The sequence below is a fragment of the Homo sapiens genome, chromosome 7 (genome assembly GCF_000001405.40).
Source record: "Homo sapiens chromosome 7, GRCh38.p14 Primary Assembly".
Lineage (NCBI taxonomy): Eukaryota > Metazoa > Chordata > Mammalia > Primates > Hominidae > Homo > Homo sapiens.
In genome coordinates, this window is record NC_000007.14 from 103,271,719 (window position 1) to 103,296,606 (window position 24,888).

Genomic DNA, 24,888 nt, shown 5'->3' on the forward strand with positions numbered 1-24,888 from the left:
AATTATGACTCACCTCTGGATAAATATGGAAGCGTTTTACTGCATTAATTACAAGAGGATATTCAGTAAGCCTGTCATTCATAATCATCCACAGTCCTCCCAAAAATGAAGGTGCTTCAATAATGGTCTTGAAGTAAGAATAATAAAGTCCCTTTTTTAAAAAAAAAAAAGGCACATATTGTCAATGTAATTAAAACTTTAAAATATTTATTTTTATCACTTCTTTAGAACTTTTTTTCTGAAAAAAGAAAGGTTAATAAGACAACTTCCTAATCACTCCTTGCTATTTTGCATTCTTGGACTTTAAAGAACACGTATTTTCAGGTGATCACTGTACTATTCTTTCAAATTTTCTATAGGCTTTCAAACTAAAGAGTTAGAGGGATGGTCAAACAATTTAAAGAGTTTCTCTAATAATGTCTTAAAATGTGTAGACAGTATATGTTTGATTTTCCCACATCTGGTTTTATCCCCCACATTTGAGATGCTTGAAGGTTGACATCTGATTAATTCTATCATAAACAGGGATGCCTTCATGCCTCTGTACAACTTTGCATATAGAAAATTACTTTTTTTCCCATGCTCTCAGGAAATAAAATATAATGACCATAAGCATCATGAGCAAGGAATCCAGTGCTTCTAGCTTAATTCATAGCTCCATCTAATCCTCTGTGCAAAGTGAAAGCTCAATGTCAATTGATTATTGTTGCTCACAAATGCTATGTACTAAAAAGCAGATTATTTTAGTGTCTTACACTTCAGCATATAAAATAAAGGCTTCATTAGGATAGTAAAAGTGCTGTTGAGTTAAAATTCATGGATTAACAACAGCATGTTGTGTCTTATTTCCCCAACAATTTCTTGCTTTCGCTCCTAAAATCTAAAAGCAAAAAAGGGCCACATTGTTTAAAATGCATTCTCCCTAAAAAATGCTTTATGCTATAATCATATCTGCCTAATCCAACACGAGTAACTACTAAATTACAGGTCTGTTTTAGCTGATGTCTGAAAGGCCATTATCTCATAGTTGATTGGCAAAATATGAATTCATAAAGAATTTTCCTTTCTGCTTAGGAGGATAACAAAGCAATACAACAATTAAAGGATATCTAATATGCAAAAGACTATATTTAGGGAAATATTAAATATATAAATAAGTTACTAATAACAGCTATTGTTTTAAGTATTCTGCTATGTGCTGCCATTCATTATCTCCCTTCATTTTCCCTAAACCCCTCTAAGATTGGCATTATTTCTATTGAGCAGACGAGATTACTGAGAATCTGAGAGGTGACCTGACTAGCCATCATACAATAAAGCATAGAACCGCTATTAGAATCCAGCGATCTGTCACCAAAGTCCAGACTCTGCCACAGTTACACTCTTTATTTAATAATATTTTATATTCTGTCTTTGGAAATACCTTTAAAATGTTCAAATGTCATACATATGTTAATGTATCCAATGCTTTGAAACTTTATGGGGCAATATAGGGATGAAAATTAAAAAGCAGTGACTGAGGGACCTGGCATAGGCAAAATCACAGAGACAGAAAATAGAGCTGGGTGTGATTAGTGTTTAGTGGGTAGAGTTTCTGTTTGGGATAGCAAAATGTTCTGGATGTGGACAGTGGTTAATAGTTGCAAGACAACATGAATGTACTTAATGTCACTGAATTGTACACTTAAATGATAAACATTGAAATTTTTTATTACAAATTTAAATCTAAATTTTACTATAATTTAAACAAAAAGCAATGGCTAGACTGAGGAGAGCCAGTTTCAATGCTTCACTAGGCCCCCGACCAGCTGTGAGCAGATCTGGAAGATGGACGGTTGTGCTGTCTTCTAAATGTAAAATTGCGCAATTTTGGCATTTGCTATCCCACTTACTCCTCACAATAATTATGTGAGATACGTACGGCAGAAAACTCCATTTTTAAGATTAAGTATTGAAAAACAGAAAATTATTTAAAAACTATATCAAAAGTTATCTCTTAAAAGAGATTATCTTGAAATCAAAAGAGAGCCAAATAATAATCGTCATCATTAAAAGGCCCAGGTAAAACATGGGATCTCCTAACCGTAGCCAAAGAGAAAGCAATTTCTGATAACATCTCATTTCATTCCCCTTTATCACTTCTTCAGTGCTTTCTTTGTCCTCCTTCCTCAGCTATTATAATTCATCTTTATTACCTTAAAAAGAAGTCTGCATTAGGAAAGGGTGAGAGATAATGAAGTAACAGAAAAATAATCTCAAACACTTTACTATTTAAATAATAAACCTGGGTAATAGCTTATGAAACAGTGCAGTTCGCCAAAAGTTCATTTCAATTCCTAATACATTTCTACCTCATAGTCTTGTGTCCGGAATTGGTGGGTTCTTGGTCTCACTGACTTCAAGAATGAAGCGGTGGACCCTCGCGGTGAGTGTTACAGCTCTTAAGGTGGCGTGTCTGGAGTTGTTCGTTCCTCCCGGTGGGCTCGTGGTCTCGCTGGGCTCAGGAGTGAAGCTGCAGATCTTCATGGTGAGTGTTACAGCTCACAAAAGCAGCGTGGACCCAAAGAGTGAGCAGTAGCAAGATTTATTGCAAAGAGCGAAAGAACAAAGCTTCCACAGTGTGGAAGGGGACCCGAGCGGGTTGCCAATGCTGGCTCGGGCAGCCCGCTTTTATTCTCTTATCTGGCCCCACCTACATCCTGCTGATTGGTAGAGCCGAGTGGCCTGTTTCGTCAGGGCGCTGATTGGTGCGTTTACAATCCCTGAGCTAGATACAAAGGTTCTCCACGTCCCCATCAGGGCAGCTAGATACAGAGTGTCGACTGGTGCACTCACAAACCTTGAGCTAAACACAGGGTGCTGATTGGTGTGTTTACAAACCTTGAGCTAGATACAGAGTGCCGATTGGTGTATTTACAATCCTTGAGCTAGACACAGAGTGCTGATTGGTGTATTTACAATCCTTGAGCTAGACATAAAGACTCTCCACGCCCTCACCAGAGCAGCTAGATACAGAGTGTTGACTGGTGCACTCACAAACCTTGAGCTAAACACAGGGTGCTGATTGGTGTATTTACAATCCCTGAGCTAGATATAAAGACTCTCCACGTCCCCACCAGACTCAGGAGCCCAGCTGGCTTCACCTAGTGGATCCTGCACTGGGGCTGCAGGTGGAGCTGCCTGCCAGTCCTGTGCCGGGCGCTCGCATTCCTCAGCCCTTGCGTGGTCGATGGGACTGGGCGCCGTGGAGCAGGGGGTGGTGCTCGTCGGGGAGGCTCAGGCCGCACAGGAGCCCATGGATTGGGTAGGAGGCTCAGGCATGGCGGGCTGCAGGTCCCGAGCCCTGCCCCGTGGGAAGGCAGCCAAGGCCCAGCGAGAAATCGAGCGCAGCGCCGGTGGGCCAGCACTGCTGGGGGACTCAGTACACCCTCCGCAGCCACTGGCCCAGGTGCTAAGTCCCCCATTGCCCGGGGCCAGCAGGGCTGGCTGGCTGCTCTGAGTGCGGGGCCCACCAAGCCCACGCCCACCCGGAACTCCAGATGGCCCGCAAGTGCAGCACACAGCCCCGGTTCCCGCTCGTGTCTCTCCCTCCACACCTCCCTGCAAGCTGAGGGAGTGGGCTCCGGCCTTGGCCAGCCCAGAAAGGGGCTCCCACAGTGCAGTGGGGGACTGAAGGGCTCCTCAAATGCCACCAAAGCGGGAGCCCAGGCAGGGGAGGTGCCGAGAGCAAGCAAGGGCTCTGAGGACTGCCAGCATGCTGTCACCTCTCGGTCTGGCTATTCTTAAACCACAAATTAATTCGTTAGAAGAAGAAACCTAACCGTTTCAATGCAAAAAGTCATCTCCCGTTCCAAAGATGAGAGGTGAGAGAAATGATGATCATTTTCAAAAAGTGTTACTAAATGTAACCTAGAAAAAAATGAAGAATCATATTAAAATAAGAACAAGTTTCAAAACTAACAGTAAAATAAACAATAAGAAAGCCATAAAAAAGAAAACAATAAATTGTTATAATATTAATTTTATAATTTGCTTACTAACTTGTATGTTTTTCGGCATTTATAATCCAGTATGGCACACACCTGAAATTCCTTAACTCAGTGGTTTTTAAGCTTAATTGTGGCCGGGTACGTTGGCTCATGCCTGTAATCCCAGCACTTTGGGAGCCCGAGGCGGGCAGATCACTTGAGGTGAGGAGTTCGAGACCAGCCTTGCCAACATGGTGAAACCCCGTCTCTACTAAAAACACAAAAATTAGCCAGCCATAGTAGTGCATGTCTGTAATCCTCGCTGCTAGGGAGGCTGAGGCAGGAGAATTTCTTGAATCCAGCAGGTGGAGGTTGCAGTGAGCAGAGATCATGCCACTGCACTCCAGCCTGGGTGACAGATAGAGACTCTGTCTCAAAAAAACAAAAACAAAAAAAAACCTTAATTGTATATCTAAAATTCTTGTGGCTTTTTTCACCCTTCCTTCCATCCCAGGCCTCTAAATCAGAACAGAGGCAGGTTAGTGTTTGTTTTTTAAGTTTCAAGTGATTCTAATGTACCAGCCTTGGGAAATACCTCCATAACTGTTGAAGAGGGTTCAGAATATAATTTTAAATAAAATTACTTTAGATCAAAGCAGACTTACAATAAGTATAATATCACATAAAAGATCAACTTTCAAGTGCCAAAGAATACAGGTGTGTACTTGAAGACCTTTTAGTAGTGAAACTCAACAGCTATAGGCAGTGAAGAAAAGAGCATATGTGATAAACAAAATTAGCTATGGCCAACAATTATGCTATAGCTAACTTATGTAGTCAGTACTTTCCAGTGAAGTTGAAAATAAAGCAAAGTTCCATATATTAACCCTGTTTTCCACTAACCCTTCTTTACATGTAGGCCATATGCCAGGGTACCAAAAACTGCAGGAATATTCCCTACCATTGCAGCCTCAGTTCTAACATCAAAATCTCCCTGCAGACTAAATGTCTAGAGCAGCACTGTGTCAATAGAACATAGGGGCAGATCTCATACCTCCCAAGGGTAGAAATCACTGAGCACAGGTAAAAATAAAATATTTCAGAAGGAAATATTATTTTACAAATTTTTATAAACACTTTTGTAAAATAATGTACACAGGCTTGCACACTGAAAGACTCAGAGCCATTTAACCATATAACCACTGCAGAATCTTTACCTTCTTTTTTACCTGATTTCCAATTGGCAGGTGTTACTAAAACTTTATCACCAAAGTTATTTCACTGGCTGAGTGTGGTGGCTCATGCCTGTAATCCCAACACTTTGGGAGGCCGAGGCAGGTGGATCATTTGAGGCCAGGAGTTTGACACCAGCCTGGCCAACATGGTGAAACCTTGTCTCCACCAAAAATACAACAAATTGGCTGGGTCTGGTGGTGCACACCTGTAATCCCAGCTACTTGGAAGGCTGAGGCACAAGGATCACTTGTGCCTGGGAGGCAGAGGTTGCAGTGAGTCAAGATCACACCACTGCACTCCAGCCTGGGAGACAGAGCAAGACTCTGTCTCAAAAAAAAAAAAAAGTTATTTCACTAGCAACATATAATTACCATAAAGTAAAGGAAGGTTTTAAATGAACTACACATGCAAAACACACTAGAAAAGCTAGATATTTAAAGAAACGTGTGGTGAATTATTTGGTAAAGCAAAAATATTTTAATTCATAAGTTACTATTCCCCTAATGCATCTATTTTGTAAATGCTGTTTCACATATGAGGTTTGTAAAAAAGCAAAATACATGTATAAATTGGTGCACATAAAGATGTTCTACAAATATAGCCAGAAGTTATTGTTTTACTGTATGCAAAGAGTGATGGCAATTTTTAATTCAAATGTTTTTAAATATTTCAAACTGAAACTACATCTTACCAATGTAGAATTGCCACAAAGACGGCTGGAATAAAGAAAAAAAGGAAAGTTATTAATAGCTGCTTTATTATAAAATACCATTAAAACAAGTATTTCAAATGTATTATTTTACATGTCTAGAAAGATAGCACACAAAGCAAGACCGCCAGCTAATCCTGTCTCTGTGAGCATAGGAAAAAATCCAGGACACAAAGCAAATTCTGAACAGAGCTTACCTCTCTGCAGCAGGGCTTGATAAGCAAAGGGAGAAACTTGAGAGGGTTTTTTAACTTCAGGTAATTGGTAAGAGTGATGGAATTATGGAAGATTGTGACCTTTTTTGTTTTTTTTCCAGTATTATTTTCTATTCCTTTATATGAAATTTTTAAAAGTAGTAAGTATATACAGTATGCTTCAGCTAGTTCTAACCAAGAGGAGCCACTCTAGATCAGTTTCTCTAGCATTCATCGGAAGATGATTAAATGCAGGAAATCACTTCCTCAGCAGCACATCTAAAAGCCCCAATGTGCAGCTCAACCCTTGATGAATTGCAAGCTTTTTGCAAGAGCCCAGACCTAGGAGCTACTAGATGGCCTAGGATACTAGTATGGAGTCACCTGGGCCAATGCCCCATGTATACATAAGACTTCACCTGGGAGCTGGGAGACACGGCTCTGGGTATGGAGCTTTTACAGGAGCTGCAAACACAGCCTGTGCCCCTGTTTGGTTGGGGAATTCCTTGTTTTCAATTCCCCTGGAGAGAGAAGAGTGGGGAATAGAACAAGTTAAAACACCACAAACTTTGCTGTTCTTATAGAGGTTCAGCAGCTTTTCTTGAATTAATGCCCTTTACATTGTTGTAAACCTTTGGTTAATTTCCAAAGTTTTGAAGGAAATGATTTTGATAATTTTCCAAGTATTTTCATTGTCGTCATGGAGGAGTGCATTTCCTTGGCTATTCCAGAAGTCCTACTTCCCTTCTGAGATTTTATAATGGTATTTCTTATGGTTATCCCAAATATACTTGGCAAGTCATCTTATAAACCACCAATAATAGCCTCTTAAAAATTCAAAAATTACTTCACTTGGCTAACAAAATAAATGCAAATTAATTCAATAATTATTGAAGAAATTAAATTTTTAAAAATTAAAAAATTGCAATGTTGAAATTCTCAACCATGCTTACCCAGATCTTTTCCTATATTACTAACTGTCCTGGGCTTATCTTAAACACTTCTCGGAAGATTTACTTGTTTTATACCAGGATAGGCAAAGTATGGCCCATGGTGTATTTTTGGACTGTCTGCAAGCACGGTTGCTATAATTTTTAAAAGGTTGAAAACTTTAAATGGTTGTAAAGATGCTCATTAATTGTTTATTAGGCTTCATTAATTTTAAAATATACAGACTATCCTGTTCAACTATATTTGTATCCTATTTCTAATTCTCCTAACAATTATATACACTGGCAAAAACTCTTCAGATGATACATAAGGAAAAGGTCAAATATAGTACCAAATTCATCCAGCTTTCCAAAGATGCTCAAAATCTTTCTGTCTCTCACTCCCTCCCTTAACCCACATACCACATATGAAAAAAATGATAAGGTGTAATGATGCCAGTATTCTAAATGCTTGAAGGGCTTATCACATGCCCTTTCCAAGCTGTGACAGAAGCATGTCCCCTGGACCCCAGCATCCTATCAATCTCACCTCTGAAGGTGACCCAGCCTCATACTTCACTGAAACAAAGACCATTAGACGCCAGCACTCCCAGCTTCTTTCATCTCCACTTTAACATTTCTCCATATAGTAATTCTTGCTTTTCTACTCCCTGCCATCTCAGAAAAGGAATTCTCTCTCCTCTTTTCCACAGTTAGCTTCTCACATTTGTGCCTTTAATTCTACCCTTCCAAATATTCCAAGACTTGCTCCACTAATTATTTCCTCTCTTGGAATCTTAATCTCATCCTCTTCCCTTGATCCTTCCCCTCAGCCTTTAAAACTCCTAGACCTTAAAACACTCTCTGCGATCTGACAGCCCTTCAAACCAATATACTCCCTATCTCTCTCTCTCCCCTGGTTCAATGACAAGATTTTTGGCCAACTTCTGTCTACTCGGACCTTGCTATTATTTCCTACTAGGGACCCACAAACCCTTGCTTGTTAAACTGATCTCCTTCAAGACTGAAGAAAAGCGCGATGCGCCTCCCTCCTAGGGCTCTCCTGACCTCTCCTTACCGATGCAGAGTGGTTCTGCTGGGGAACCACCGCGCCTGCAGTTCGTGCACCTCTTCCCGGAGCTGCGCCAGGGAATTACAGACGAACTGGAAGGGGCCGAGAAGGGCCTTGGCCACCACCTTTAGCTCCAAGCCTTTTCGCTTTTTCAGATTTGGGATCCTCCCCGGGGAGGACCTCCTGGCGCCCCCCGGCAGTTTCCCGCCGCCTAGGGCCGACTTTTCCACCTCCCGCTCCCGGGCGGGGGAGGCCCCGCAGGGCCGCTTAGACGGGCTGGGGCGGGAAGATTGCAGCGGCTTTGGGCTTACTCCTTGTTTCTTCATAATTCCTAGTGGAGCTGGGTCAATTTCAGGCACAGCCCAGCCGAGTCAGGCGAGGTCCAGAAAGGCCTGACTCGCCTGGCAGCCTCAACGGACTTGTCCCCGCAGCCGTTGACGAGCCGTTGACTAGCGGACCTCCTGGTCGTCATGGCGACTGTGAAATGTAGGGTGGGGCGCATGCGTTGGAAGCCATTCGCGCGGGCAGTCCCTGCGTGTCCCCCCACGTGCTCCCCAGCGCGCGCAGCACCCCCGCCTCCGCGCTTCCCCGAGCGTGCAGCTTCCGGTGAGGGCAGCCCCACGCACAGCCCCCCACACCCTCCCCAGCGCCTGCAGACTTCGGTGCGCGCAGTTCCTAAGCCCACATGCGCAGTTCTCACCTTGCGCGCAGCCTCACGTACAGCCCCCGACAGGCTCCCAGCCCCACTGGCGCAGAACCCATCACCGCTTGCCCTTCACGCGCTTCATTGGGAGTGCAGCCCCCACCCCGAGCGCACAGCTCCACGCAGCCTCTCCACACTCTCCCCAGCGCCTGCAGCACCCGCAGTGCGCACAGCTCCGCCAGTAGCTTCCCCGCGCGCCGCCCCTGCACCGCTTCGGGCCATAACCTTGCTGGCGACTAAGTCTGAAGAACTTCCCGTGGTTTCATTCTTTTCTTCGCGTTTAGTCTTAGCTCTGACATTTTAACCAAAAGGTTACACGTTAATTAACGAGGTATTGAAGGGGAAGATCTCAGCTGAAAGAAATGACTGTAGGAAGTGTGTCAGGGAAGCCAACGGAACCGCCGGCCCGCCGGTGGTGCTCCGGGCATTAGGAACGTCTCTGCTCTCCTACGATCGCTGAGGTATCGGACAGTCAGTGCCCGTTGCCAACACGGAGGGAACGGGCCGAGACTGCGGGCAACACGTGGCAGAGCCGGCGTGAGTCTGGTGGGTCTGATCCCAGAGCCTCAGGTTGACGCCCCTTCCTTGGCACGGGACAGCGTTTACTGAATCTTAGGGGAAAATGCTTTTCCAATAAGGTTCCTCAGAAGTCATCAGCCCTAGGAGCGGTGTGCTCAAGCGCTTTCAGCACCAGCCAGGACCAACTAAGAGGGGAGCGCTTAGCTCCCAGTCACCGCACAGCCCTACAAGAGGCCAAAGCGGCTGGCACAGATGCACTGGGGCCACTGACATTTTCCATGTCCTCTGTCACGGGCCACATGCTGGAGCCCACACCGCTTCACTTTCCATCTGTTTGATGATGGATCAAATTGAACTCCCATATCCTAACTGACCAGTCTAAAGCATGGCTCATTGTGGCCAGGTTAATTTTTCCTGATGCAACACAGCACAAAAATGTTCGTGGCCCACAAGTCAAGTCCTAGGCTTGCTCACCAATGCCTTCAATATTTGCCCAATATACCTTTTCAACTTTAATTTCCCACTTCCTCGGGCACAAAATCTTCCATCTCAGTCATTTCAGGTGAAGTCCACAGCCTGAGACATCATAACTGCTGAATTCCTTTATTCATGTGGAAAAGCCATCCCTTGGCTTTTACATCCTTTTCTCCCTGCCCATCTGAATGCTGTCACCTTCCAAGCCCCAGCCCATTTCTCCAGCCCATATTAATTATGCTTTTTCTCCAGCCCATATAATTATGCAATATATTCTTGCATTATCTTATCATCTTTGAAACAGAGATGCCTCATGATTTAGCTTTTATATATATATGTTTTTATTATACTTTAAGTTCTAGGGTACACGTGCACAACGTGCAGGTTTGTTACATATGTATACATGTGCCATGTTGGTGTGCTGCACCCATTAACTCAACATTTACATTAGGTATATCTCCTAATGCTATCCCTCCCCGCTCCCCCCACCCCACGACAGGCCCCGGTGTGTGATGTTCCCCTTCCTGTGTCCAAGTGTTCTCATTGTTCAATTCCCACCTGTGAGTGAGAACATGCGGTGTTTGATTTTTTGTCCTTGTGACACTTTGCTGAGAATGCTGGTTTCCAGCTTCATCCATGTCCCTACAAAGGACATGAACTCATCATTTTTTATGGCTGCAGAGTATTCCATGGTGTATATGTGCCACATTTTCTTAATCCAGTCTATCATTGATGGACATTTGGGTTGGTTCCAAGTCTTTGCTATTGTGAATTGTGCCGCAATAAACATATGTGTGCATGTGTCTTTATAGCAGCATGATTTATAATCCTTTGGGCATATACCCAGTAATGGGATGGCTGGGTCAAATGGTATTTCTACTTCTAGATCCCTGAGGAATCGCCACACTGACTTCCACAATGGTTGAACTAGTTTACAGTCCCACCAATAGTGTAAAAGTGTTCCTATTTCTCCACATCCTCTCCAGCACCTGTTGTTTCCTGACTTTTTAATGATCGCCATTCTAACTGGTGTGAGATAGTATCTCATTGTGGTTTTGATTTGCATTTCTCTAATGGCCAGTGATGATGAGCATTTTTTCATGTGTCGGCTGCATATTATTTAGCTTTTTTTTTTTTTCTCAAGATAGGGTCTCACTGTCACACAGGCTAAAGTGTGATGGTGCTCACTGAAACCTTGAACTCCTGGGCTCAAGGTATCCTCCTGCCTCAGCCTCCTGAGTAGCAAGGACTACAGGTGCAGGCCACCACACACAGCTAATTTGTTTATTTTTGTAGAGATGGGGTATCACTATGTTGCCCAGGCTGGTCTAAAACTCCTAGCCTCAAGCATTCATGCCGCCTCTGCCTCCCAAAGTATTGGGATTACAGGTATGAGCCACTGCACCTGGCTGCAAATTATCTGTCTTACATAGAGATCTCTAATCCGGTTATGGATACCTAAAACTTGCCTCAGTTTTTCCTTTGTCTTTTAGTAAAACAATTGGGAATTTTAAAAAATGCAATTAAACTATGTAACCAGCAGATGGCAATAATGATCTGTAAATCAAAATTTCAAAACTTAGTTACTTATTAAATTCATTCTTTAAAAAAAATCACTGTTCTTATAATAAATCCATTTACTAAATATGAAATGTAGGAAAATTCCAAATGTAACCCCACATAAAAATTACATTGCATATTTCATATGTCAAAATAATTAAGATATTCATCATGGCCAAGATTTAGTTTTCCAAATAATAATGACTTTGTTTTAATTGATTCGAATAATTTATTAGATTTAAAGTTTTAACTTTGCACAAATACATATATATAATTTAAGTGGATAGTTAAGTTCCATCTCTAGCCTCCAGGCTAGATAGAGGTAGTTTAGCAAAGACCATTTTGAAAACATTACAAACTTTTCCGGTTATAATTTGGTAATTTAAAATGTGAATTTCACTTTAATTGAAACTTTCTGCATAAAAGATTGGTTTTTATTTGTGCTGTCTCATAATTTCTTATGCATTAAGATACTTTTCCCCCTTTGTACAGTGCAAGGAGTTGGAATTGGCACCAAAGTATTAGTCTCTACTTTATCAGCATTAGTTATTCCCAAAGATGGTGGCAAAATTCTTAGGATCTCATAGTTATTTTATTTAGTAATTTTATTTATTTTCATTATACCTTTCTAAGACTTTTTCTACAAATTCAAACATGAAATACATCCTTTGTTTAATTTTGTAGCTCCATTTTTGCCTTCGAAAAATAGGATAGCCATAGGTATGTTCTTCTTGGAGCTTACTTATTTTCTAGGTAATTTCAAATGGTCTGCTTATAAATGTTAAAAGATCCTTTCAAATTCTTCTTCAGCAAGTTGCCTCCACTAAAAAAGTGTCTTTGGACATGTGTATTTTATAAAACAACTGCTTCAGTCTAAAACCTTTCTTGGATTTACATATCTTGGATTGACTCATTTTTAAATAGCATATTTGCTGCTATCGAATTACTTTACAGAGCCTCTTTAAATTCATATTGGATGCAGGTCTTCATCAAGGAGAAAGTGGAAAGACACCAACTTGCCGTGAAGCATACAGCAAGTTTAGATGTAAATGCATCTGTAAGTGATACTTTGCACAATGCTGTCTTTTGGACTATGGAAGAAAGGCATCTGTAATAACAAGTTGGAATTTCCAAGAGTTCCAATCTATTTTCTGTGTCCATGAGGGGGCTATCCACTCCCCACTCCTAACCCCCCAAAAAAACCCCAAAACCAAAAAACTAGAGCTCTGTAAGCCACCCATGCCCTGGTAGTGTAGTGCTCCAGGCCTATGTCAGATACGACATACCTTAAAAACAACTCCAGGCCTTTATCAGATAAGACATGCCTTATGAAGGCGTGTCTTATTCAAAGGGAGGGAGGTGATCCATAAATTAATTGGGAGATTCTTTCAGCTCCAAGTAGAGAGACTGCACAATTGCATAGTATATGCACATTCATTTGAACCAGATTGGTACTCAGTTATCACTGTTAAATGACTTAACCAACATATACACAACTATACTTATATACATGTACCACATCCCCAAATCTACAAAATCCATTTTTCCCTGGATTTGATGGTAATATACCATGTACAAACTCCATCATATTGAGATTATTTTTATTTACCACCAAAGTAACTAATATAAGAATTACTACATTCAATATCAATAAGCAAAAGCCTCTACTATATTAGTCCATTTTCCCCATTTAGTAAAAAAAAAAGTGCAGCTTGCTGCCAGTGCTCATTTAGTTGTACATAAACACTTTATTTGATGCTGAAGCAAATCTGACTGATTTTCAACATGAAAATGAAATATAAAAACTGTTCTTAGAGTTATTTATAAACAGAATTTGTCTCTAATCCTAATGTAACAGAAATGTAGATGATGATGTTACAGTAGGATTAGAGATGAGTATTTTTGGGGCAAACAGGAAATGATTTAAAGAATGAGTTTCAGAATATTTATGGGCAGATTAAATGCAAAACATAGTAAAAGTGCCAATGATACATAATGAATCTGTGTGCTGTATTTTACATAATATAATATTTTAGGTTGATTTAAGATGGAACTTTGATTATAATATAGAGTTGAAGATATATCACTAGACTAGGCCCAGTGTGCTTTGGCCAATTTACTTTGTTTCTCTAGTTCTGATTTCCTCAACTATAAAATACTTTGGATGACATGGCCTAAATAAGGTCTTTTAAACTTATTTGATTCTAGTTGGTATTTGTACAAATATTTAGGTAGATGCACCTGCTAAGTCATACAGTGGCCTGTACTAAGATCTCTTTTTACCACTTTTTTCCTTCCCTCCTCCTCTGCCTCCAGCTGTGTGTTCAGACTCCACCCTGAGGGTCTTACTCTGCAATCTATCCCACAGTTTGTCCTCTAGTACCTACACTTGTCATTGCCCACCCAGAGGGCTGAGCTCATCTCTCTCTCATCTCTTCGGCCCAGCCCCAACCTGGCCTCCCCCTTATCCCTGAACTTTATTCCTCTGATTCCTTCTCACCTCCACTGCCCAGTCTCTAAGTAGGGTGGGCCTCCTTGTTCCTATTTTCTAATTACTTCTATCTACCAGTAGCCTAAATGGCAACTAGAGAATAAGGAGGAGAGTGAGACAGCCCTAAATAAATAATAAGTGTTTATATCAAGACCACCAGACTTGTTGGGGTCAGCAGAGCTCTGCTTTCGCATAGGTATGGACCCATCCCCTAAAGATAAATATGAAACTTTAAAACGCTCTCATCTTTGGTACCATCCATTGAAACCCTTTTTGAGATACTTATTGGTGACAATTTATAATCCATTAGTAGAAAAACCATCGAGTTTTGCAGCTTTCATATTTCTTAATTAAGGCTGTATACCTGGGTTCAAAAAAAGCAAGGTAGACTTTTTTTAAAAAATTAAAATTTGGAAATATTTAAAGGGCTAGTGCGGTGTCTTAGTTATAAGTGTTAACAGAATTTAAATCTTCACTATTCCTAAAAGAAACCCCATACATACTTGCAGTCATTTCCATTCCTCCCTCCTTCCAGCCTCTGGCATGCACTAATTTTCCATCTCTATGGATATTTCTATGCTGGACATTTCACATGCATGGGATCATATAACATGTAATCCTTTTTGACCAGCTTCTTTCTCTTAGCATCCTGTTTTCAAGGTTCATCCATGCTGTAACATTTATCGTACTTCATTTTTTATAGCTGAATAATCTTCCATTATATTGATATGCCACATTTTATTTATCCATTTGTCAGTTGATGGGCATTTGGGTTGTCTCCACTTTTTGCCTATCATGAATGATGCTGCTATGAACATTTGTGTACGGGTTTTTGTGTGGACATATCTCTTCATTTTTCCTGGGTGTACACCTAGGAGTGGAATTGCTGGGTCATATAGTAAGTAACCTTTTTTTATCCTTTTCACCAATGGCCAGACTACACCATTTTATATTCTTACCGACAATATATAAGGGTTCCAATTTCTCCACATCCTTGCCAACTTGTTATTGTAATTATAATTATAGCCATCGCAGTGGTTGTTAAGCGGTATCTCATTGTTGTTGTTGTTTTACTAAGAGGCTATTTTTAGAGCAGTTTTAGGTTTACAGAACAATCGAGTAGAAAATCTAGAAGTCCCGTATATCCCCTCTCCCCCACACTGGCAGTCTCCGCTATTATTAAACTATTGCATTATTGTAGTGCATTAGTTACAATTGATGAATCAATATTGGTGCATTATTGACCAAAAAGTCCATAGTTTACATTGTAGCTTACTCTGAGTTGCAAAGTAGTATGAGTTTTGACAAATGCATGATTTCATGTGTCTGCTACTACAGTAGCATCACAGAGTTATTTCACTGGCCTAAGTATCACCTGTGCGCCATCCCTTCATTTCTCCCTCTTTCCCCCCAAACCGTGGAAACCACCAATCTTTTTACCATCTCTGTAATTTTGCCTTTTCCAGAATGTCATATAATTAGAACCACCCAGTGTATAGCTCATTTTTCACTAGCAATATGTATTTGAGATTCCTCCAAGTCTTTTCACAGCTTGATAGTACATTTCTTTCTATTGTTGAAAAATATTCCATTGTATGGATAATGGATGTACCACAGACTGTTCATCCATTACCTATTGAAGGACATCTTAGTTCTAAGTTTTGGCAATTATGAATAAAGCTGCTGTCAACAGTCATGTGCAGATTTTTAAGTGGACATAAAACTTTAACTCACTTGGGTACATACCCGGGAACATACTTGCTAGATCATATGATAAGACTATGCTGGTTTTGAAAGGAATTGACAAACTATCTTTTTAAATGGCTGTACCACTTTGCATTCCACCAGCAATGAATGAGAGTTCCTATTGCTCCACATCCTCACCAGCATTAGCATTGCTAGTGTTTTGAATTTTAGCTCTTCTAATTGGTATGTAGTTGTAGCTCATGTTTTAATTTGCGACTCCCTAATCACATGTGATGTTGAGCATCTTTTCATATGCTTATTTGCCATCTGTATATCTTTAAGTATCTGTTCAGAGAGATCCTTTGCCCATAATTTGTCTTTTCCTTACTGTTGAGTTTTAAGAGCTCTTTGTATATTTGAAATACGAATCCTTTATCCGATATGTGTTTTTGCAAATATTTACTCCGAGTGTGGCTAGTCATTTTATTCTCTTAACAATATTTTTCACAGAAGTTTTTAATTTTCATGCAGTCCATCATGTTAATTTTTTTGTTAATGGATTGTACTTTTGGTGTTGTACCTAAAACACCAAAACTACCTAGATTTTCTCCTGTTACTTTCTAGAAGTTTTATAGTTTTGCATTTTGTATTTAAGTCTATGATCCATTTAAGTTAATTTTTGCAAAAGATTTAAGGTCTGTGTTTGGACTTATTATTTTACATGTGGATATTCAGTTGTTCTAGTACCATTTGTTGAAAAGATTATTATTTCTCCACTGAATTGCCTTTGTTCCATTGTCAAAGGTCATTTAACTATATTTATGTGGGCCTAGTTCTGGGCTCTCTGTTCCATTTATCTAATTGTCTATTCTCTTGCCAATAGTACACTGTCTTTATTACTATAGTTCTGTAGTAAGTTTTGAAGTTGGGTAGTGTAAGTCCTCTGACTGTTTTTCCTCTTTAATACTGTGTTGGCTATTTTGGGTTTTCTGCCTTTAAATAAACCTTAGAATCAGTTTGTTCTTAGCCACAAGTAACTGGCTGGAATTTTGGTTGTGTTTGCATTGAATATATAGATCAAGTTGGGAAGAACAGACATCCTCACAATATTGAGTCTACCTATCCATGAACACGGACTATCTCTCCATTTATTTAGATCTTCTTTGATTTATTTCGTCAAAGTTTTGTAGTTTACCTTATATAGCTTTTGTGAATATTTTGTTTAAACCTATTTGTTCTTTTTTCTTTTATTAGTGATGATATATCTGTTTATTTCAAATTCCAATTGTTCATTTCTGGTATAAAGGAAAGCAACGGTCTTTTAAAGTATTAATCTTGTATCCTCTAACCTTGCTATAATTCAACCTTGCCATAATCACTTATTAGATCTATGAGTTTGTTGAAAGCACATTATTTTCTATTTTTTAAAAATATCAATAAAAATAGGAAGGAAAAGATCCATTAAAACTCCAAACAAACCGAACAAATAAACCCACTTGTATTGCGCATGAGAAAAACAGGTCAAGATTATTTTGAGGCCAGGTGCAGTGGCTCATGTCTGTAATCCCAGCACTTTGGGAGGCCGAGACAGGTGGATCACCTGAAGTCAGGAGTTTGAGACTAGCCTGGCCAACATGGTGAAACCCTATAGTGTTTTGTCTACTAAAAACACAAACATTACCCAGGCACAGTGGTGTGTGCCTGTAATCCCAGCTACCCGGGAGGCTGAGGCAGGAGAATTGCTTGACCCAGGAGGCGGAGGTTGTGGTGAGCCGAGATCACGCCACTGCCCTCCAGCTTGGGTGATAGAGCAAGAGTCTGTCTCAAAAAAGAAAAAAAAAAAGATTATTTTGAGGGCCCAGATCACTCTGGATTTTGGACAATGGGGCACCTTTGAAGTGATGTAATCTTCCCCCCAGCATTTTAGTATCACTTTGGACTGGTCAGGAATGAGTTAGAGGAGGGAAAGAGGCAATGCTGAGAAGCCAGGTAGGAGGCTGGTTTTAATTGTCTGGATCGTAAGTGATGGTGGTTTAACTAGTGTGGAATGGGGATTGAAAGAAAAAGATGGACTTGGGATACATTTTAGAGGTAGAATTAACAGAATTTGATGGCCGGGACTGGTGGCTCACGCCTGTAATCCCAGCACTTTGGGAGGCCAAGGCAGGTGGGTCACCTGAGGTCGGGAGTTTGAGACCAGCCTGACCAACATGGAGAAACCCCATCTCTACTAAAAATACAAAATTAGCTGGGCGTGGTGGTGCACGCCTATAATCCCAGCTACTCGGGAGGCTGAGGCAGGAGAATCACTTGAACCAAGGAGGCGGAGGTTGTGGTGAGCTGAGATTGTGCTATTGCACTCCAGCCTGGGCAACAAGAGCGAAACTCCATTTCAAACAAACAAACAAAAAAGAATCTGGTAATGAATTGTCTTAGATGGGAAAAACTTATATTTTGGGCAGGAAATGGGAGATCAAGGTAGGAATTTCTATTTATACTCCTTTGATATGCAAAATATAGGCTTAGAACCTGATATTAAGTGGTATTTTTTTTTTTTCTTTTCTGTCTATCCTTGTCTAGTTGGTAGGACATATTGAAAGAGACTGGCAATAAAAGCAAGGTAACAAAACAGCCACTCTGCAACAGACTGCCACATTTCTGGAGGTTTTTTTTTTTTTGAGACAGAGTCTCGCAGTGTTGACCAGGCTGGAATGCAGTGGCGCGATCTCAGCTCACTGCAACTTCTGCCTCCTGAGTTCAAGTGATTCTCATGCTTCAGCCTCCCGAGTGGCTGAGATTACGGATGCTTGCCACCACATCCAGCTAATATTTTACTATTTTTAGTAGAGGTGGAGTTTCACCATGTTGACCAGGCTGGTCTTGAACTCTTGGCCTTAAGGGATCTGCCCCCCTCAGGTTCCCAAAGTGCTGGGATTACAGGCATGAGCCACTGCACCCAGACACTTTTGGAGATTAAATAGGGTATTTGTCTATATTGCTGCATTATAAGTTAACATGAGCCTAGTGGCTTATGGTATTTCACAGTTTTCATGGGTCAAGAGTCCGAGAATGGGTCCTTTGCTCAGGGTCTCACAAAGCTGCAATCAATGCATCAGCCAGGGCTGGGGTCTTATCTAAGGTTTGGGGTCCTCTTCAAAGTTCACAAAGCTGTTGGAAGAATTCATTTCCTGGCAGCTGTAGAACTCCTGGTGGCTTGCTTCTTTAAGGCCAGCAGGGAGAATCTCTTACCTCTAGATCTTCTAACAAAGGGTTCAACTGATTAGGTAAAGTCCACCCAGGATAACCTCCTAGGTGATTAACTTAAAGTCAATTGATTAGGAGCTTTCTTGACATTTGAAAAATCCCTTCACCTTTGCTGTATAATGTAACCTAATCATAGGAATAAGATTCCATAGGGAGGGGATTATAAAGGGGCTTCGATTATTGGGGGACATCTTAGAATTCTGCCTATCACAAACTAAAACTAAAAAGAGATCAATAATAGAAGAGTTTCATGCCACCCTATAGATTTGATGGGAATTAAAAAAAATACTTTTACCATTAAATTTCTACTGCAAGATAAGAGCTCTCCACCCAAAACTAGTGAAATCAGCCAGGAGTGAAAAGGGGAGGATGCATGTAGGTGATCCAGGCAGATAGAAAATAGAACTGAGTAGACTACCTTTTCTCCCTGGAAGTCAATACTAAAGCAATGCTCTAGGTTACTTAATTGGAGAATCACCATCCCTGCATTTTCTGAATCTCCTATTATGTTTTCAGATACCAGACAACTGAGCGGATGTTGAAAATAGGTTCGGTTGACTTCTGTAAGAATTTTATACTCATCTCAATAATAGCATTTTGGGACCCAAGCGATTTGGTATTCTTGAAAATTTGTGTTGAGATCTTTACTAAAGCTTTCCCTCATGAAATTAGAATCTGGGCTCTGTTCCCTTTCCCCCGCTTCCACCTTACCAAGCCTCTTGCTAAAGGTACCCCTGGAGACATCTAGAGCAAGACATTTGTCTAGAAGGCCCTGCTGGTCTCCACAACAGATATACAGAATCTCCAGGAAGGTTTGTAGAATGAATGGAAGTTGGGGCAGAAACTCTCAGTACACGTCAATCCAGGGTCAATCAAGGAGCACCAAATAGAGGAATTCTGGAGAACAAAATGAGGAAACAATTCATGATTCAACCATCCCAGAAAGACCAGTGAGCACAGAAAGAGCTTCACAATTTGGGATCATCAATGACCATGGGGAAATGAAGTTGATGAAGATAAAAAATCAGGTTTCACTAGTATCATACAGGCTGGGCTTAGTTTCCTATAGAAGAGATATAGTGGCTTGCATGGGGATAAGTGGGAGTTTTAAAGAAATCCTTGATTATATAATAGTTGGTTTCTAATAGGCACAAAGCAGAAGCTTGAAGGATGTGAAATTGTTTGCATAAAGTGCCCATATTTTCTTCTGCTTCTGTCCTCAAGGACAAATCAGCTAACCAATAAAGCATATACACACATGGGGAGGGACATATACACTCACTCAAACTCAGAAACATTCAGAACATTAAAAAGTGCACAAGAAGGTTGGGTGCAGTGTCTCACACCTGTAATCCCAGCACTTTGGGAGGCCGAGGCGTGTGGATCGGTTGAGTCCAGAAGTTTGAGACCAGCCTGCGCAATATGGCAAAACCCTGTTTCTACAAAAAATACAAAAAATCAACCAGGCGTGGTGGTGCACACCTGCAATCCCAGCTACTGAAGTGGGAGGATAGCTTGAACCCAGGAGGCAGAGGTTGCAGTGAACTGTGATCATGCCACTGCACTCCAGCCTGGGTAACAGAGAGAGACCCCATCTTAAAAAAAAAAAAAAAGAAAAAGAAAAAAAAGAAAAGAAAAGAAAAAGGAGAAAACAGTGCACAAGAAGGATTTTGACAAAAGGCATATGGGGGCCATGGGCCACATTCCCAGGGATTAACTGTAGCCTTAGTTCCCGTGGTGATTATACATTCAACTCAGGGACTGCTTCCTACTCAGTGTAACCTCCATCAAGAGGCAGGAGACAAAAAGGAATAAAGCCGAAGCACTTCAATGACACCAGACTATGTACAAAGGCTGCCAGCACCACAGCCAGACACAGGGAGCTACTCAAACTGTCACATTACACATCTCATAGCACACTAATCACTCCCTCATCACCAGCAACCATTGTAGATAAGGCTGGATCAGAAACGCTTTATGAAACATGCAAAGATTTTTTTGCTCCAATTCATCTTCAGTTTCCTTTATTATGCTATTAATTATGGCCAGATGAACAATTCTGAGATTCTCTTCCTATTTCAATTTGTGTAAGAGCTCTGGTGATGTGTGTGTGTGTACTTGAATGCATGACTATAATACATAATTGTCAACAGATAGAAAGCAGTATTCTTCTCCCACTGTCCCCTTCCCATAAAAAGAAAAAGGTTTTGGAAATGTAACCTCATTTTTTTTAATTAAACTTTTTATTTTGAGATAATTGTAGGTCCACCTGTAGCTGTAAGAAATAATACAGAGAGATCCCATATACTTTTCATCCAGTTTGCCCCAACAATAACATCTTGCATGAATAGAAACAATATCACAACCAGGAAATTGACGTCGATACGATACACTGAACTGATTCATATTTTACCAGTTTTATGTGCGTTCATTTGTGTGTATTTAATGCTATGCAATTTTACATGTGTACATTCGTGTAACTAGCAGCACAGTTGAAATAGAGAATGGTCCCATTGCTTCAAGAACCTCTCATGCCACGCTTTCATAGCCATACTCATCTCCCTCTTGTCCCTGCGCTTCTCCCCTCCCCAGTCCAACCCTTGGGGAATCACGAGTCTATTCTCCATCTCTATAATTCTGTCATTTCAGGAATGTTATATAAATGGAATCATATAGCATATAACCTTTTGGTATTGTCATAATTCCCTTGAGGCCCATTCAAGTTGTTGCATTTATCAGTAGTTCATTCCTTTTGAGAGCTGAGTAGTATTCCGTGGTACGAATGTACCACAGTGTGTTTAACCATTCACCTGTTGAAGGACATTTGCATTATTTCCAATTATTGGCTATCATGAGTAAAGCTGCTATGAATATATGTGTAGATGTTTTTGTGTAAACTTCAGTTTTCATCTTTCTGGGATAAATGCCCAGGAGTTCAATTACTGGGTTGTATAATAAGTGGCTGTACTACTCTGGAGTTTTATATTCCCACTAGTAATGTATGAGTGATCTTGTTTTTCTATATCCTTGCCAGCATGTGGTGTTATTGCTGTTTTTCACTTGAGCCATTCTGCTACATGTGTAGCGATAGCTCATCATTTTAATTTGCATTTTGTAATGATTGATGATATTGGACATCTTTTCATGTGCTTATCTGCCATCTGTATTTCTCCTTCAGTGAAATGTCTGTTCATGTCTTTTGCCCATTTTTTTTCACTGTTTTTGAGAGGGTTTTTTTGCATAATTCAGACACAGGTCCTTTGCTGAATATGTGGTTTGCAAATATTTTCTCCCAGTCTGTAGCTTGTCTTTTCATCCTCTTAACAGCATCTTTTTTAGAGCAAAAGCTTTTAATCTTGTTTTTTTTGTTTGTTTGTTTGTTTTGAGATGGAGTTTTCCTCTGTCACCAGGTTGGAGTGCAGTGGCACGATCTCAGCTAACTGCAACCTCTGCCTCTCAGGTTCAAGCGATTCTTTTGCCTCAGCCTCTCAATACCTGGGACTACAGGTGCGTGCCACCATGCCCAGCTAATTTTTGTATTTTTAGTAGAGAAGGGGTTTCACCATGTTGGCCAGGATGGTCTCGATCTCTTGATCTCAGGTGATCTGCCTGTCTTGGCCTCCCAAAGTGTTGGGATTACAGGCGTGAGCCACCGCGCCTGGCTTTAATCTTGTTTTAAGCATTATATTTTTGATATCAGGTCTAAAAACTCCTTGTCTATTCCTATATCCCAAATATTTTATCCTACGTGTTTTTCTAAAAGTTTTATAGTTTTATGTCACATATTTGCATCCATGATTTATTTTGAGTTAATTTTTGTATAAAGTGTGAGGTTTAGGTTCATTGGGAGTTGGGGAGCGGGGAGCCGTGGATATGAACATCTAATTGTTCCAGCAGCATTTGTTGAAATGCTATTCTTCATCTATTGAATTGCCTCTGCACGTTTGCTAAAAATTAGTAGGGCATGTTTGCGTAGGCCTACTTGTGTCTTGAGATAATCACAAAAAAAGTAGAGGAAAATGACAAAGCTTTAAAAAGTTAGAGAGATGCTAATAAATATGAAGGACAGATAAAGTCATTCAGCATAAGGAGAGCTGCAGTCCTTGAAAAGATAACATACTGAATGGAATGCCAGAATATGTATTCAAAGAGACTTTCTCTAAAATGAAGGAAGAAGTGAAACTGCAGAATGAAAACATATTATGTTTTTGAAAATTTTGATAAAAATCACAACACAAAAATTACTCAACATTAAGATATAGCCTAGTTAAGTTACTGAACTTCAAGAATAATTTTTTAGGTTTTTAGGCAGATAAAACAGGTCACATTTAAGGGTGGTAAAAAAAGAAAAAATCTGGCTAGCCTCAGACTTCTCCAAAACATTTAACTCAAGAGCATAATGGAGTAATGTTTATAAAATTCTGAGAAAATGAAACTGTGACCCAACAATATTAAATCCAGACAAAAATGTCATTCAAGTATAAAGATAAAAGCAGACATCCTCAAACATGAAAGAATTAAAGGAATATGACATCCATGATTAAAATTTCCAAACAACAAAAATAGCAATGACTCTGCCAGTAAAATCCAGTCAGTGAAGAAATCATTTAAAATAGGCCAGGTGCAGTGGCTCACGCCTGTAATCCCAGCACTTTGGGAGGCTGAGGCGGGAGGATCACTTGAGGTCAGGAGTTCAAGACCAGCCTGGCCAAACTGGTGAAACCCCGTTTCTACTAAAAGTACAAGAAGTAGCCGGGTGTGGTGGTGGGCACCTGTAATCCCAGCTACTTGGGAGGCTGAGGCAAGGGAATTGCTAGAACCCCGGAGGCGGAGGTTGCAGTGAGCTGAGATTGCACCATTGCACTCCAGCCTGGGCAACAAGAGAGAAACTCCGTCTCAAAAAAAAAAAAAAGAAAAAAAGTTATGGATACTGTTGTGGGTGTAGGGCTATTTTGGGAGTAGTCAAATTCTTTGATTTCTTGGCTCTACTCTGGTGCACTTAATTTCTGTAGGCTTTATGTTCTAAGATATTGACTGTAAATAATGACTAATAAATTAATACCATGAAGTATATTAGAATTGAATACAAATTCTTGCTAAAACTTCCTAGGTGCTTCCTGTGATTATACCTACATGTTTTTGTATATATGTATGCATGTTTGTATTTATTTTTGGTTAACACACATTTGTTTTAGAAACATGAGAGAATAACCTTGGTCGTCCTTTATTACATTACATCATGAGTCTTGTGGACTGAACCTGCGAAGCATAGCAGCCGGGTAGGTGGAGGGAGATGAGTCTGGAAAGATAAATGGGAGTCAGATCATGAAGGGCCCCACCTGCCATGCTAAGGACCCTTTACTTTATTGTGACCAAGGGCTCCCTGATGGATTCTTCATAATGGGACTGCCGTAACAGTTTCATTTGTAAAAGATCCTATAGGTAGTAATGTGAAAAAACTGACAATGGGCCTGGAGTAGATTGAAGAGGCAGGAAAGGGGTGTATCAATTGAATGTGGAAGATGGAAAAAGAGAGGAGCTTCTGGGTGGTTTGGAGTTTTGGGCAAATGTAGGTATGATTGGCTGTTTGGCATTGCAAATATGGGAAGAGATTCAGGGGACACAGTGAATTCCCTTTTGGACAAGTTGATATTGAGTTTCCAATGGGGTATTCAAGTGTAGTTTCCTAGTAGTTGATGGTTAAGTGGGCTGGAGCTCAAGAGAAAGGCCTGGGTTGGGCAGACAGGTCTTGAAGTGGAGGGAAAAACCCAGAGGGAGAATGTTCAGTAGAAGAGGCTTAGAGTCCTGGCAAACACCAACTTTTAGGGCAAAATGTAGTGTTTCACAGCACAGTCTTTGGCGTTAACCTATTACTAGCAGGGTAACCTGGGGCAAGTTATTTGACTTCAGTGTCTTAATTGCAAAATAAGCACTATACCATCTACCTGAGTTAGAAAAGCATTTGCAATTTTTAGTTCCTTGAGAGATCTGTGGGCTGGGCGCAGTGGCTCACGCCTGTAATCCTAGCACTTTGGGAGGTGGAGGTGGGTGGATTACCTGAGGTTAGGAGTTCAAAACCAGCC

General features: G+C 40.6%; 1 pseudogene across 2 annotated transcripts in view, besides 3 other annotated features; it reads right to left on the minus strand.

The window, feature by feature from the left end:
- DPY19L2P2 (DPY19L2 pseudogene 2) overlaps nucleotides 1–8,748 on the minus strand; it is a 105,454-nt pseudogene extending 96,706 nt beyond the window's left edge. Inside the window, exons 1-6 of one of the 2 annotated variants that reach the window (NR_003561.2) lie at nucleotides 8,420–8,594; nucleotides 8,115–8,176; nucleotides 6,527–6,628; nucleotides 5,896–5,920; nucleotides 2,352–3,909; nucleotides 14–151 (exon numbers count right to left, since the gene is read on the minus strand). The product of NR_003561.2 is annotated as a DPY19L2 pseudogene 2, transcript variant 2 (transcript). Of the gene's footprint in view, nucleotides 1–13; nucleotides 152–2,351; nucleotides 3,910–5,895; nucleotides 5,921–6,526; nucleotides 6,629–8,114 lie in introns of both variants that reach the window. The other variant, NR_027768.1, reaches the window with a different exon arrangement.
- Nucleotides 8,111–8,160: an enhancer, noted in NCBI's record as "active region_26439". NCBI's record gives its function as "activates an Ori minimal core promoter by ATAC-STARR-seq in GM12878 lymphoblastoid cells {active_cell/tissue: GM12878}" and the evidence as "EXISTENCE:reporter gene assay evidence [ECO:0000049][PMID:35858748]".
- Nucleotides 8,621–8,770: a silencer, noted in NCBI's record as "silent region_18510". NCBI's record gives its function as "represses an Ori minimal core promoter by ATAC-STARR-seq in GM12878 lymphoblastoid cells {active_cell/tissue: GM12878}" and the evidence as "EXISTENCE:reporter gene assay evidence [ECO:0000049][PMID:35858748]".
- Nucleotides 8,880–9,401: an enhancer, noted in NCBI's record as "H3K4me1 hESC enhancer chr7:102921045-102921566 (GRCh37/hg19 assembly coordinates)". NCBI's record gives its function as "activates a minimal SCP1, AML or CMV promoter by ChIP-STARR-seq in naive H9 embryonic stem cells {active_cell/tissue: H9 hESC(naive)}" and the evidence as "EXISTENCE:reporter gene assay evidence [ECO:0000049][PMID:30033119]".